This window comes from Homo sapiens, chromosome 10 (genome assembly GCF_000001405.40).
Source record: "Homo sapiens chromosome 10, GRCh38.p14 Primary Assembly".
In the NCBI taxonomy this organism is placed as follows: domain Eukaryota; kingdom Metazoa; phylum Chordata; class Mammalia; order Primates; family Hominidae; genus Homo; species Homo sapiens.
The window spans coordinates 3,204,415-3,220,251 of record NC_000010.11 but is presented as its reverse complement, the minus strand read 5'-3'; the positions used below and the strand labels follow the sequence as shown (position 1 = coordinate 3,220,251).

Genomic DNA, 15,837 nt, shown 5'->3' with positions numbered 1-15,837 from the left:
TATTTGCCGCTGCTGTACAATAAAACATCCATTTTGTTTTTTATTGTAAACAGATGGAAGCTGCACAGAATGAAATTAGAATAATAATTCTAAGTAAATCAAGTTTAATTATAATTTTCCTAATACACTGAGTGTTAGAAAATCCGTATTAATGTGTTGAGTCTCATGGACTAAAGTTTGCACATGGACATTATTTTAGTCAAATGCACTTCAAGTTGTAAATTATCTGATTTGAGAATTTTTACATGTCATCAACTAATTTAATTCAACTAAAAAATGTATTAAGTTTGTGCAAAACCTAGTATGAGACTCTGCCTTAGGCATAGTGAAAAATGAAAAATTAAACTTCAAGCACCTTCACAAGGAGAAGGCTGGTATAGTTTCTCAAATGTATACATTTAAGAGTTTGTCCACCATGTTTATGTTAAAAAAAACCTGCAACAATTGTTTTCACACTGAACCACCATCCAATCACTCAGCATGTGAGTTTGGCAACGTGATGCGAAATCACAAATCAGACTATTGACGCCTTTTATTGATTGATTTAAATAGATTGCTTTTACTCTTTGACCAAAACGGTGACTAGAGGTGATGAATATGTTAATTAGCTTTATTCTGGCAATCATTTCACAATGTATATGTATACAAGAACATCACATTGTACACCTTAAATATACACAATTTTTCTGTCTGGTAAACCTCAGTAAAGCTGGGAAGATAGATAGATAGATAGATAGATAGATAGATAGATAGATAGATAGACAGACAGACAGATAGATAATCGGATGGATAAATGGATGAAGAGATGGATAGATATGTAGATGGACGGATGAGTAGATGGATGGATGGATGGATGGATGGATGGATGGATGGATGGATGGATGAATGGATGGATAAATGGATGGATGGATAGACGGGATAGATGGATGGATGGATGGAAGGATGGATGGATGGATGGATAAATGGATGGATGGATAGACGGGATAGATGGATGGATAGATGGGTGGATGGATGGATGGATGGATGGATGGATGGATGGACAAACAGATAGATGGATGGGTGGGTAGGTGGATGGATGGATGGATGGATGGATGGATGGATGGATGGATAGATGGACAAACAGATAGACGGATGGATGGATGGATGGATGGATAGATGCATGGATGTATGGGTGGATGGATGGATGGATGGATAAATTGATAGATGGATGAATGGATGGATGAATGGATGGATGGATGGATGGATGGATGGATAGATGGACAAACGGATGGATGGATGGATGGATGGATGGATGGATGGATGGATGGACAAACAGATGGATGGATGGATGGATGGACAAACGGATGGATGGATGGACAAACGGATGGATGGATGGATGGATGGATGGATGGATGGATGGACGGATGGACGGATGGACAGATACTTGCTTTAGGTCAACACAAAGACTATACCAGACCATATGCACAAGGTGTTCATAGTCACAGAAGTCTGAACTGCAAACCACAGAGAGCACATGGAACTTGGAAGTATACAAAGGAAAGTCAAAAACATAATGAATGGCCTTTAAACTGAGCCATAACAAAGGCATAAAGGAGCTAGAGGGCAAATACTTCCTGCTTTACGTTAAGAATCTATTATTAAGGCTCGGCCTGTAATCCCAACACTTTGGGAGGTTAAGGTGGGCAGATCACATGAGTTCAGTAGTTCGAGACCATCCTGGGCAAAATGGTGAAACCCCGTCTCTACCAAAAATACAATAAATAAATAAATAAATAAATAAATAAATAATTAGCCGGGTGTCATGGTGCGCGCCTGTAGTTCCAGCTACTGAGGGGGCTGAGGTGGATCACTTGAGCCCAGGAGGTGGAGGTTGCAGGGAGCCAAGATCGCACCACTACAATCCAGCCTGGGTGACAGAATGAGATCCTGTCTCAAAAAAATAAAAATTAAAAATTAAAAGAGTTTATTATTAAGCTACAGTCGTCTATCACAGCAATAGTCAAAATTCTTGGTAAAAATTTAGATGCCTCATGATATTTTTATTATTACCTATATTAATAGAAAGAAACTCTGTTAAAACTCTGTAGTTACTACTGTCACGGATTATCTTCAAAGCCTGTCAGAGCCACGCTCCGACATAACCCCTTCCTTGCTCGGGGTGGTGTTTACCGTTATGGGCGCTCCCTCCGGTGGCCGCTGCTGCATGTGGGGGTCAGGCCGAGGGCGGCTCAGCTTGCCCACACGTCTAGGTGGACACTGCAGCAGTGGGCCTTCTGTAAAATGCTGCCTCTGCGTTATCCCAGGAATCCATGGACTCCAAGGACACTGCCTTTTCAATCCTATCATTTTGTATTTTTTTTTTGGATAAAATGTTATTTTTGATCCTGTCAATAATAAGGAAAATTGGTACAGAAAGCATACACCAGATGGTTAACAAAAACTAATTATTGATCAGCTTATGTTAGCTATGTAAGGACTATTCTTTCATAGTTATTTGTTTACTTTGGAATATTCAAATATACTCAAATATACACACAGTACTTTGAATATATACAGAGTACACAATTTCCATACATTAAAGCAGGGGTGTCCAACCTTTTGGCTTCCCTGGGCCACATTGGAAAAAAGAGGTATTGTCTTGGGCCACACATAAAACACACTAACACTAATGATAGTGGATGAGCTAAGAAAAAGTCCATGCATACTTTTCAAGATACTCACCACCACAGATAAGCCAAAAAGTCCTCACATTCAAAGGACTTGACTTTGACATGACTGTATTACAGTATATTTGGGGAAGATTGCATCTTCTACTCACTCATGCTTAGCAGTTTCTGGTGTATCCCTCCAGATAATCTGGCTTATCTGCGTTTATTTTTATTATTTATTTATTTAGAGACAGAGTCTCACTCTGTTGCCCAGGCTGGAGTGCAGTGGCATGGTCTCGGCTCACTGCAACCTCTGCCTCCCAGGTTCAAGCAATTCTCCCTGCCTCAGCCTCCCCAGTAGCTGGGATTACAGGTGTGCACCACCATGCTCAGCTACGTTTTGTATTTTTAGTAGAGATGGGGTTTCACCATGTTGGCCAGGCTGGTCTGGAATTCCTGACCTTAAGTGATCTGCCCACCTCGGCTTCCCAAAGTGCTGGGATTACAGGCATGAGCCACCGCGCCCAGTCTTATCTGCATTTATAATTTTTATTTTTTACTCAGTGCTGTTGGACTGTTCTGGGCCTTGCCTCCATCATAGGTTATGCTTTCTGGAATTTTTAATTTATTTTATTTTATTGATTTACTGTTTTTTTGAGACAGAGTCCCTCTGTGTCACCCAGGCTGGAGTGCAGTGGCTCATTCTCGGCTCACTGCAACCTCTGCCTCCTGGGTTCGAGCGATTATCCTGCCTCAGCCTCCCGAGTAGCTGGAACTGTAGGTGCCCGCCACCACGCCCAGCTAATTTTTATATTTTTAGTAGACACAGGGTTTCACCATCTTGGCCAGGATGGTCTCGATCTCTTGACCTCGTGATCTGCCCACCTCGGCCTCCCAAAGTGCTGTGATTACAGGCATGAACCACTGCGCCCGGCCTATACATTATTTTTAAACTGAGACTAGACAAGAAGAGAACACCGCATATTTATATCACCTCCAACCATGCCTCCCTCCCTCTCACTTCCATTTCTGTGTTATTTCATAGCATCTTATTTATAACATTTGTCATTATAATATCCTCTCATTTACCATAATCCTATAGGAGCTTTAGTCTTATTCCTACATTAAATGTCTTCAGTGCTCACGGCTCACTTTTTATCTGTGTCTCCATCTGTTTGGAGACATCCAAGTTTGTTCTAGAGTCATCTTCTAGAAATCTCTTTAGGATGGCTTCACCAGTCCTGCATCCCCTGGGTCTCACATGCTTTAAGAGACTTACAGTATTTTTAATAAAGCCCATGCTTTTTTCATTTCTCATTAAATTATCTCAATAAATTGAGTCTTTTCTGGATCAGCTATTTTACCCAAGGTACAAATTGGGGAGAGACTAGGTCAGAATTTCCCCAGCTCAAAATGAAGCTCCTTGTGACTCAGAGCCTGTGTGCATGTGTGTATACATGCAGGTGTGTGTATGAGTGTGAATGCATGTGTGTATGCATTAGTTGTCATTATGTCTCCCCAGCTAAAAGAACATGCATTAGTTGTCATTATGCATTAGTTGTCATTGTATGCATTAGTTGTCATTATTTCTCCCCAGCTAAAAGAACATGCATTAGTTGTCATTATGCATTAGTTGTCATTGTATGCATTAGTTGTCATTATTTCTCCCCAGCTAAAAGAACGTGAGGCTGTGCCTGCTTCAACCCCAGTCTCTCTCCCACCTTGCTTCCCTGGCAGCCACCTCCTGCAGGAGTCGCTCGCTAAAGTCACCTCTCACGGCCTCTGCACAACACCTGACACCTGGTAAGTGCTCAACACGTGCAGGGTTTCCTTTTCTCTGTGCAACGTCTCCTGTCCTTCAGTGACACCCTGGGTCATTTCTACAGTAGCCTTGCATCAGACACCCTGCTCCAAGCAAGACACGTGGATTCTGCCTGAGGCTGCGGCATCCCTTCAGGAGTCTTGGCAAGTTGGGCGCTGTGTCTGGGAGCTGCTCTGCTCTCCAAGCCGTCCCATGCCCCGGTTGGGTCTTCCCTCCTTCCACGCCCTTTCACGTGCACTGTAGAATCCATGGTTACGCTGTGAGCTCCATGGAAGCTTGAGTTTGCTTTCTGGCTTTTGTTCTTATTCTCTGGGGACAACTTTAGAAAGAAGAAGAAAATAGAGACGTCTTTACCCTGCTGTCTTAAAATAGAGACAGAAAGTAGGAGAGTTGTTGCCAGGGGCTGACGGGAGGGGAGCAGGAATGAGTGTTGAATGGGGCAGAGCATCAGTCTGGGACGATGAAAAGGCTCTGGAGGTGGATGGTGATGATGGTTACACAACAGGGCTCTAATGCCACAGAGCTGCACACTTAAAAATGGTAAATTTGGCCGGGTGTGATGGCTCATGCCTGTAATCCCAGAGCTTTGGGAGGCCGAGGTGGAAGGATCACTTGAGGCCAGAAGTTTGAGACCAGCCTAGGTAACATAGACACACCCTGCTTCTACAAAAATTTTAAATTAAAATTAAATTTTCTAAATGGTAAATGTTATACGTATTTTACTACAATTAAAAATAAGCAGAAATAGGTTTAAAAAGATAGATAGATAGATAGATGATAGCTAGATAACTACATGATTGACTGCTTGTATTTTGACTGTGTCAATTAAGCAGTTGATTGAGGGCCTCAAGGCCCTCAAACCAGGAAGCTGACTCCCAGGAAGCGGCTCTTGCTGCAGTGCCGACTCGGTGGCTGTGAGAAGCCCCTTGTCTTTTGAGAACCTCAATGTTTATGTCAGTAAAGCAGAGGATGGTTCTCACAGTCTCTAGGTTCTGTGACATCTAGGCTTTTATAATCTTGCTTAATCTTGCACCCTTAAAATGGCCATAAATATAACCAGGTCCCTATCACAAAACCCAGGACTTCCCACACACAGCTCCCCTGCAAGCATGGAAAGCTTTGTGCATAAGACACAGCCCGAGATGAGAGGCAGTGGAGCTGTGGGGGTTGCCAGGGTCGCCCCGTAGCCTCACAGCCATGGCTGCAGGGGCCAGGATCATGTGGCCGGTTCCCAGCAGGCCTTAACCTCCAGTGGCCAGTGCTATCTCAGGAGAAGGGTTCAACGCAATCGTACACGAGAGAACCCAGGCTTGATATTCAAAAGAATCCGGCCCCTGGCTTTGCTGTGAACACAGCCAGACCAGTGCTTGGAAAGACCGAGCGTGAGAGTGCACCAGGAGCCCATAAACCTGTCAGGAGACTGGGCCTCGGCCTGCTTTACCACATGGGAGCTCAGGGCGGAGAGTGGGATGAAGAATGAGTCTGGGAGTCGGTCTGCAAATGACCAAGCTTGTACTAATTTACATCACTTTTGGCCTAAGCACTTGGCTGTGACAAGAGGTTTTATTTCTGCTCCATGAACCCCTCCTCAAAAGGCTTTTTTCTCTGATCGTGAATAGATTTTGGAAAAGAAAAAGGAGGAAAAGAGGGAGGTTAGGTGTCTCACTTCGGTCTGGCCCAGCTTTAGATGGTCATGACTCATTGAAAGTGACAATAAATAGTTCATCATCTGGAGAGTGAAGAAAATAAAAAATACAGCACCGTGTCCCTTGGACGCCGACTCCGGCCCCATGTGTGAACCCTAGAGTGCCTGGGCAGGAGCTCTGGAGCTGGGCTTTGAGGAACGAAAGAGGCTCCTCAGTAAAAAATGACCCGCCTGCACCCCGGGCACACGTCACCCACCCACCACTCAGAACCTCAGCTCCTGACACAGAAGAATGGGGCCTGGGTCCATGACCCCGTCTGCCTCCAACAAACAAAGTGGGCTTGAAGGATCCCTGGATATCACAGCCTCAGTTCATTCAGGCACAAAATTGAACCACTCATCGCTGTTCTGTGCCATGCGTTGGCATTTTACAAGAGTTCAACGCAATCATACACGAGAGAACCCAGGAAAATCATAGCTCCCATAGCTGAGCTGGCCCCAGGCATGCAGGCCACGTGCAGAGGACTAAGGACCACCACAGCGTGGACACTCACCAATCACAGCAGACACGTGCTGGGGCAGATGGGCTGGGTCCCCAGACGGACTGGGAGTTAGCCTTTTAAAATCCGAGTTTGGGGGAGATGGGGATCCAGGGGAGGAGTGTGTGTGGTTGGGCAAGTGGGGTTAGTGTAGGGGCCCTGGGACAGCTGCTATTTACTAACCAGTAGGAAAGTCTTTCCACATTCTAGAAAGCAGCTGCAGCCCTCGTGGGAACGGCTGATGTTGCCTGATTTGTGAGGCTCCGAGCCCTGACCTGGCGAAGTTCCCAGCCCCCACTTCCCACAGAGAGATTTGAAGCAGCTTGTAGCTCCCAGCGCACATCTCACCGTTCCATTCCTGCTCCTCTTTGGGCCTCCCACCTTCTGTCAGGTTTGCCCTCCTTATCTCAGTGTGCAAATTGGCCTTACCTCAGTGGGGTGGGGGGAGGGGGGAGGGATATCATTAGGAGATATACCTAATGTAAATGACGAGTTAATGGGTGCAGCACACCAACATGGCACATGTATACATAGGTAACAAACCTGCACGTTGTGCACATGTACCCTAGAACTTAAGGTATAATAAAAACAAAGATGTAGAAGGAAATATTACTGAAGAGAAGTAGCCAGGGAAAAACACCCCAAAGTCCTTGCCCTTCCCTGCGTCCTGCAACATGTGAAAACAGACCATCCAAACACTTCATTTTAGTCAACATTAATCGGGTATTTCTTCCAGACAGGACTTGGAGGTTTTTAGTTTTAATTTTTTATTTTAGTGTAACTAGATTTGGTGCAGTGCCTGGCACACAGTAGGTGCTCAATAAATTATTTAAAATATTTTCAATAAGTTTTATTCACCTGTTAGTTAATAGGAGAATTCATGTTGGTATAATTATAATCAGATATCTTAGTGAAAAAAGTGAAAACTCAGGTGACAAATAAGCAAACCCTGAGGGGACTCTAACCAGCAACAAATCAGAAAGCAGGGTTTAGTGAGAGTAAGTTTCCTTGTGGACAACATGCCTGTGAACAAAGGTGCTAAGTGTGCACTTCTGCTTTTAAATGAGCAAAAATGCATACATGCAACTATTAGAAATTTAAAATGAGTTGAGGAACAAGAAAACTGATTAAAGAAAAAAATTGTTATTGAATTCATAGATTGTATGCAACTACTAAAAGGAAACTGGGTATATCAGCCTGAAAGTTTACTTCAAAAATGAAATGTCAATCAGGCGCAGTGGCTCATGCCTGTAATCCCAGCACTTTGGAAGGCCAAGGCAGATGGATCACCTGAGGTCAGGAGTTCAAGACCAGCCTGGCCAACATGATGAAACCTCGTCTCTACTAAAAATACAAAAAAATTAGCTGGGCATGGTGGCGGGCACCTGTAATCCCAGCTACTTGGGAGACTGAGGCAGGAGAAATGCTTGAACCCAGGAGGCGGAGGTTGCAGTGAGCTGAGATCATGCCATTGCACTCTAGCCTGGGTAATAACAGCGAAACTCTGTTGCAAAAAAAAAAAAAAAAAAAAAAAAAAAAAAAAAGGTCTCCTAAAGGAAACAGGACCAGATGTGCTGGACACCTGATCAGGTATGGTAGACACTTAACTCAGTGTGGTAGACACCTGACCAGGTATGGTAAACACCTAACTAGGTATGGTAGACACCTGACCAGGTATGCCACACACCTGACTAGGCATGCTGGACACCTGACTGAGAATGCTTTATCCTGATGGACAAGAGTTCATTCCCCAGAGTCCATCTTCCTTCTCAGAGCTGATCCCCTGGTAAGGCATTTAAACTGTGTTTCTAAGTGGATAGGGTATCTTCCATGTGACTTCAGAAAAATCTAAAATGATAATAATGGCTGGTATTATTAAGCATTTGCTATGTGCCTTGCTATGTGCCAATGTCACAGACATTGTTCTGTTTAATGCTCACAATACTTGTATGAGATAATTTCTTACAAATGGGGAAACAGATTTGAAATGGGAAAACAACTGTTTAAATTCCCATGAACAATAATCAATTGATCTAAGCCCAGGTCTGTCCCAAGTCTGGCTGTCAGCCCTGTCACCTCCTGTCCCAAACAATATCACTGGTGTGAGCCCAAGGTTACACCTGTATAACAAGACCCTAAATAAGAATGTTGTGAGCTATACAACAGGAGGCGATTTGAGGGGCTGGTGTTAGCAGTGCTGCAGACACTTGGAGACGATAGTCATTGGTGGCGTTGTGCCACAGGAAAGCATTTAAAGGTTTAGAGATGCTTTTGCTTGATTGATAAGGCAATATTCTCAAACTTGATCTCATACACCATACTAATACATCTTTAGATCAGTATACCCGCACATCCATGGTACACATGTCCAAAGTGTGTTTTCATAAAATGCAAACACTGAATGTATTCTTGAGGCTGAAGTTGTATATGCCTCTTCATGAGAAAAACAGGATATTTTTTCTCTTTAGTGCTTGAGGCAAGCTTGAAATACAAGTTAATAGGACCCAAAGTATCTCTATTTTATGTTATTAAAGGTAATCTTCTTTAATTAACATAATCAGAGGAAAATAGTATACTTTGGAGACCAAAAAAAAAAGTGGCATATCTCAGATCAAAGGTTTTTCCTGGTGATTGTGTTTGATTGTCTTTTGAAAACATGCATCCTAAGAGTTTCTAGAATGCAGCAGTTGGAATTTTTACTTTATTTACTTTATATACTTCTAATTCTGACTTTTATATCGTAAGACAATTGGTGTGTCTGTTTATAATGTTGGGAATGTGGAAGGGGAAAACTGTATATTTTCTTAATTTTGCATGAATACATTTATTTCTAGCACTGTAATTACTGTTTTTGAACAGCTTCACTGAGAACATAGCATGCCACTGGCTGGCCCCCAAGTTTCTGGTGCCTTCTCAGCCTCATCTATGAGAGGATAAAATAAAAAGTCCTGGGCACCCAAGCGCATGATCCTGGTGTATGCGTGCTTTGAAGAACAGCAGAAGTCCAGTAGAAGTTGGACTTCGCATACAAATGTGCAAGGTCTGTCGAATGAAGCTTTTCTCTCAGTGGTGCAAAGAAAACCCTCGTGAAAATATGCATGATATGCACACAAAGGGCTTGGCGTGGGCCCAGCCTGTGGTGCACCTGGTGGGGAACAGTATTACTGCCAATACTGCACCTGAACAAAGCCATACACTTCCGTGGATGTCTCAGGAGAGCTGCTGTCATCTACGGAGAGCAGAACCTGAATGAAAATAAGGCAGAGGAATGGAGAAGTATTTGTGGGCATGGCTTGTGGGGTCCAAGGGCAGTGGGGTCTGGAGGATGACTGTAAAGACGACTGCCTGGGAGGCAGACTAATTGTTGAATAAGCTCACTGAGGCCGCCCACCACCCCCACGCACACATTGCAATGATTGGCTTGATTTTGAGCTGGAACAGGAGGCTGCCATGATGAAATGCCACAGGCTGGGCGGCTCGAACGACAGAGGTTCATTTTCTCACAGCACTAGAGGCTGGAAGTCCAAATCAAGGTGTCCTTAGGGTTGGTTTCTGGTGATGACTGTCTTCCTGGCTGGCAGATGACAACCTTCTCACTGTGTGCTCACATGGCAGAGAGAGACAGAGATGGAGACACAGCTGGAGAGAGACAAAGATGGAGACAGAGACAGAAACAGAAAGACAGAGACACAGAGATAAAAATAGAGACAGCTAGACAGAGACAGAGAGAGAGACAGAGAGAGGAGACAGAGAGAGGAACACACAGACAGAGATACATAGACAAAAATAGAGACAGCTAGACAGAGACAGAGAGAGGAGACAGAGATAGAGAGAGGAGACAGAGAGAGGAACACAGAGACAGAAATACAGAGACAAAAATAGAGAGACAGAGACAGCTAGATAGAGACAGAGACAGGGAGAAAAACAGAGAGACAGAGACAGGGAGAATAACAGAGAGACAGAGACAGAGAGACACAAAAATGGAGAGAGACAGCAAGGAAGAGATGAGACAGAGAGCGTAACCTCTTCCTCTTTTTTTTTTTTTTTTTTTTTTGAGACAGAGTCTCACTCTCTCCCCAGGCTGGAGTGCAGAGGCACGATCTTGGCTCACTGCAGCCTCCGCCTCCCGGGTTCAAGCAATTCTCCTGCCTCAGCCTCCCGAGTAGCTGGGACTACAGGCACGTGCCACCACACCCGGCAATTTTTTTTATTGTTAGTAGAGAGGGGGTTTTACTGTGTTGGCCAGGATGGTCTCGATCTCTTGACCAAAGACTGCAGTCCTATGAGAATTAGAGCCCCACTCCTAGGACCTCATTTACCCTTTATGACCTATTTAAAGATCCTATCTCAAAATAAAACCCCACTGGGGTTAGGGCTTTCACTTATGAGTCAGGGGACACAGTTCAGCCCACAACCAGGTGCCAGGGACACAGCCATCCACATGGAATTTGTTGTTCTTCAGTTCTGCTTCTGCTCCCAATCTTTTGATAGACGGAGGACCCCTCCTCAAAATAAAACCACCTTGACTGTCACGGAGAAACTCTGTGCTGCATTATCTTTACTAAACGGTAGCTCCTTTTGAAAGGAGAAGTGATCCCCTCTCTCTGTGGGAAACACCCTAAATACACGAGGGGCACGGCGAGGAAGGCCAGCGCCAGCTTCCTGTGTATCCGTGTCCACGGCAGCCACTCAGGCTCCAGCCAGCTCGTCGGAATTGGGGCCGTAGCTTCAGAAAGGCGAGAGGTGATTGTCCCCACCTCTGCAGCTGACCTCGGGGTCCTCGGGCCCAAGCCTGCCAGCTGTTGCTCTGCCCCAGCAGAACCACGCAAAGGGGTGTCGTCTACATGCTCACCACACACACAGAGGATGTGGGGGTGCTCAGGGTGAGGCACAACCAGGAAAGTCACGCCCTCGGAGGACACAGAGTCGTGAGACCTCGGAGGGACCCAGGGCACCCGTCAGAGGCTGATGCCCTGAGAGAGGAAGCAGCGCACCCGCAGGAACAAGGCCGAAGCGCCAAGCCTGGCACTCGGCCATCAGGACCCTCTCACCAGGGAAAAGGAAGACCTGTCACAGAGCAGTGTGGGGCAGCGATGCTGTTTCCAAAACAAGTTCCGGCCGGGCACGGTGGCTCTTGCCTGTTATCTCAGCACTTTGGGAGGTTGAAGTGGGAGGATCCCTTGAGGCCAGGAGTTTGAGACCAGCCTGGACCACATAGCAAGACCTCATCTCTACAAGAAAATTTAAAAATTAGCCAGGCCTGGTGGTGCATGTCTATGGTCCTAGCTACTGGGGAGGTTGAGGCAGGAGGATCACTTGAGCTTGGGAATCGAAGGCTGCAGTGAAGATGATCGTGCCACTGCACTCCAGCCTGGGTGACACAGCAAGACCCTATCTCAAAAAACAAAAAAAAAGTAACTTTTGAGATTTGGTCTTATATTCAGCAGCCAGGTGGGCACGTTGTTGTGGCATCACGCACAGTCTTACCGTGTGTGTTACTGACCTACCTGGCCACATAGGACCATGTGAGAGATTTTGCTGGAACACAGAAACCCAGCCTCAATCTTGGAATTCAATCCTGTGAAGTGGGGCAGGAGGAACAATGACACGTGAAAATGGATTTGAGCAAGGATCTATTTTACACTGGAAATACTGGGCACGTACAGGCGCACTCTCTGGAGGGCACCTGAGGGCAGTTTCTGAACCACAGCAAGGTGTTCCTTATGGACTTCCCGACCCTGGTGCTGCTCGCAAAGGTGAAGGACTCAGGGAAAGAGCAAGGCTTGGGCAAAATCATCACAGGGAGAGAAACACAGGCTTTGGAAGCTGTGCCTCTCCCTGACTGTCCACCTTGGCAGTGCTTTCTCCAGCAGGCTGACTCAGAGTAGCATTTTATGGCAAAATGAAGTTGAATGGCAAACCAAGTCAACAAAGTGACCTTAGGAGGCAGCAGGTGACAACAACACAAAACGGGCTGTCACTCTGACAAAGGCCCGGGGAGCTGTCAGGGAATCCCAGGTGCCCCTGCAGCATCCGTCTCAGGCAGGCAGAGAACGCCGGCAGGGGCCAAGGCCAGGATGAACTGACCGGGGGAGGGATGCATTTCCCAGGGCCAGGGGCAGGGTTAGGACCCATCCCTCGGAAAGATAAACGATGGAAAGCACATGAAGGAAGTCTCTGGGTTGGCCAGAGTGCAAATGTGGTAAAGGAGGGAATTTTAGATTTAAAGGGGGTGGTGGGGAAATATATTTCTATCCCATAGAAAAATGGTAAAAATTCATTATTACAGATATAAGCTAAAAGTACAGATGTTCTTAAAGTGTGTTTGTATAAAATAATGCCAGATTACTCCATAACAGACTCTTATGACAATGTTTGGGATTTCAGAAACGCAGGAGAAAGAAAATGGAATCAGTACAGACCGTTCCTGATTTATGGTGGTTCAACTTACAACTACATCAATGAATGACTTGAGACGTTCAACACCTTATTATAAAGCACGCTGTGTGTTAGATGACTGTACCCAACCGTATGCTAATGTAAGTGTTTTGAGAATGTCTAAGGCAAGCGAGATGGACCCATGGCGTTCTGTAGATTAGGTGTATTAAGCACATTTTCAACTTACCATATTTTTAGGTTGCAATGTGCTTATCAGGACGTAACCCCATCATAGCTCGCAGAGCAACTGTTCTGGACGAGACTACCCATTGGTTGATTGCCATGACCGCCTCCCTCCACCCGCCCACTAGCATCACAGCAGAAAACAAACTTGTTTAACTGGACATTGTATCAAACACCACCAGTAACATGTGCCCAGAATGTTAGGGGCAAAACAATACATCCATTGCATAATCCCATATGCAAGACAGGAGTCAAAGAACCAGCTTCTATTTCATCCCTGACACATATGGTAGCCACACAGATGTGGATTTATGATCCACGGGGGATTTATGAAATACTTCTTCTAGAGTCTTTTTTCTTCTGCAGTGAGCCTCTCTCACCCCTCATTCATCCTTGGCTTGTACATTCCTTTTTTTCTCTCAAAGGAGTTCTAATATTTTCTTTGTTGTTTTCATAAAACTTTTAGTAGAACATGACCCCAGAGTTGAAAGCAGTAAAGAGTCGATCAACATCTGTCTTAGGGAGGAATAGCTGGATTTCCTTGTGCTGGAATTTCTGAAGAAAGGGCCCACCTGGAGAGCTCATCCTCTCCTCCCGTGCCTTTGGTCGGTGGCAGTGCAGTGCCCTGTGACCTGGAGAGCGTGCTCATCCTCTCCGCCCATGCCTTTGGTCGGTGGCAGTGCAGTGCCCTGTGACCTGGAGAGCGTGCTCATCCTCTCCTCCTGTGCCTTTGGTCGGTGGCAGTGCAGTGTCCTGTGACCTGGAGAGCGTGCTCATCCTCTCCGCCCGTGCCTTTGGTCGGTGGCAGTGCAGTGCCCTGTGACCTGGAGAGCGTGCTCATCCTCTCCTCCCGTGCCTTTGGTCGGTGGCAGTGCAGTGCCCTGTGACCTGGAGAGCGTGCTCATCCTCTCCTCCCATGCCTTTGGTCGGTGGCAGTGCAGTGCCCTGTGACCTGGAGAGCGTGCTCATCCTCTCCTCCCGTGCCTTTGGTCGGTGGCAGTGCAGTGTCCTGTGACCTGGAGAGCGTGCTCATCCTCTCCGCCCGTGCCTTTGATCGGTGGCAGTGCCCTGTGCATATGGACCTGCTCTTCAGTGCCTCTCCAACAAACAACAAGGTTTCCAGGGCAGGGAAGTGCTTCTAACAAACACCGCTAACACCTTCCCAGGACTCCAACAACCTGCAGGTGAACATCGTTTGGGGCTGCCGCTGCTGCCCTAGGCATCCTTGCTGTTGTTTGCCTGGGATGAGTTGCAATCTACTTGGGAAGTTTGTTTTTCTCTCATTGTCTGAAATTCCCACCGGAATCCCCTATTGTTGGTCACACACCCTAGTGGGTCCTTAGAGCACTGGTTTTTGATAAAAAAAAAAAAATAATGTGATTAAACCTATTTGACCCTCTTCTCAGAAAAAAATAATTGTACATTTATATATATATTTATATATATACATATAGATCTATATAAATCTATATCTATATGTATATATAGATGTATATGTATATGTATATGTGTATATATATGTATATGTATATGTATATGTATATGTATATGTATATGTATATATACGTGCAAGAAAAATTTGCAGCTCGGGTTAGGAAGTTTAAAAGCAACTGAAGCTTGAATGATTCTCAAGATTTCCACATGGGAACAATTTGGGTAAATACATTATAACCCCCCACAAAAACGTTTGGAAATTTTTTTCTAAGGCGTTTGTGTGGACTAGCAATAGATTACAATAAGGTGATTGCTACTTATGTGTTTATCTTCACTCCCAACACTGTCTTGGGGGTATTAGAACCACCTCCTGTTAAGAATTCTATCCGTGAGCAAAATGCACTACTATTGAAATATTGGCCGCAGCCGCCGTGGTTCATGCTATATCGCTCACAACATCGATTGGACGTTGGAACATGTTGGTGTCCCAGGAAATAGGTCTATGCCTCCTTTGGCTTTGGCTTTCTGCAGCCAAATCTGCATGGCCATGAAGTTTTCAGTCCTCTATTTATATCCTTAAGATAGTCTCAGGTTGAAAGCCAAAAAGCTTGTGGGGGACAGTTGGGTCATTAACTAGCAGGAGTTTTGAAAACAGTTCTCCCAGCCGGGCGCAGTGGCTCATGCCTGTAATCCCAGCACTTTGGGAGGCTGAGGCAGGTGGATCACAAGGTCAGGAGTTCAAGACCAACCTGGCCAACATGGTGGAACCCTGTCTCTACTAAAAAATACAAAAAGTAGCCAGGCATGGTGGCAGGCACCTGTAGTCCCAGCTGCTCAGGAGGCTGAGGCAGGAGAATTGCTTGAACCCAGGAGGCAGAGGTTACAATGAACCGAGATTGCACCACTGCACTCCAGCTTGGGTGACAGAGCGAGACTCTGTATCGAAAAAAAAGAAAAAAAAAGAAAAAAATATTTCTCCCAACCTAAGTAAGCGTGATCATAAATAATATTCTAGTACAATGTACATGCCTGGATCCTGAGAGAGATTAGGACTTTGTGTGTTTTTAAGACTATAGTAGTAGTCTCATTTAATGATATATTTATTTTTAATAAAACTCAATAAATATA

At 45.2% G+C, this 15,837-nt stretch overlaps 2 annotated features.

Moving 5' to 3' along the window:
• Positions 5,183-5,683: an enhancer, noted in NCBI's record as "H3K4me1 hESC enhancer chr10:3256761-3257261 (GRCh37/hg19 assembly coordinates)". NCBI's record gives its function as "activates a minimal SCP1, AML or CMV promoter by ChIP-STARR-seq in naive H9 embryonic stem cells {active_cell/tissue: H9 hESC(naive)}" and the evidence as "EXISTENCE:reporter gene assay evidence [ECO:0000049][PMID:30033119]".
• Positions 5,684-6,184: an enhancer, noted in NCBI's record as "H3K4me1 hESC enhancer chr10:3256260-3256760 (GRCh37/hg19 assembly coordinates)". NCBI's record gives its function as "activates a minimal SCP1, AML or CMV promoter by ChIP-STARR-seq in naive H9 embryonic stem cells {active_cell/tissue: H9 hESC(naive)}" and the evidence as "EXISTENCE:reporter gene assay evidence [ECO:0000049][PMID:30033119]".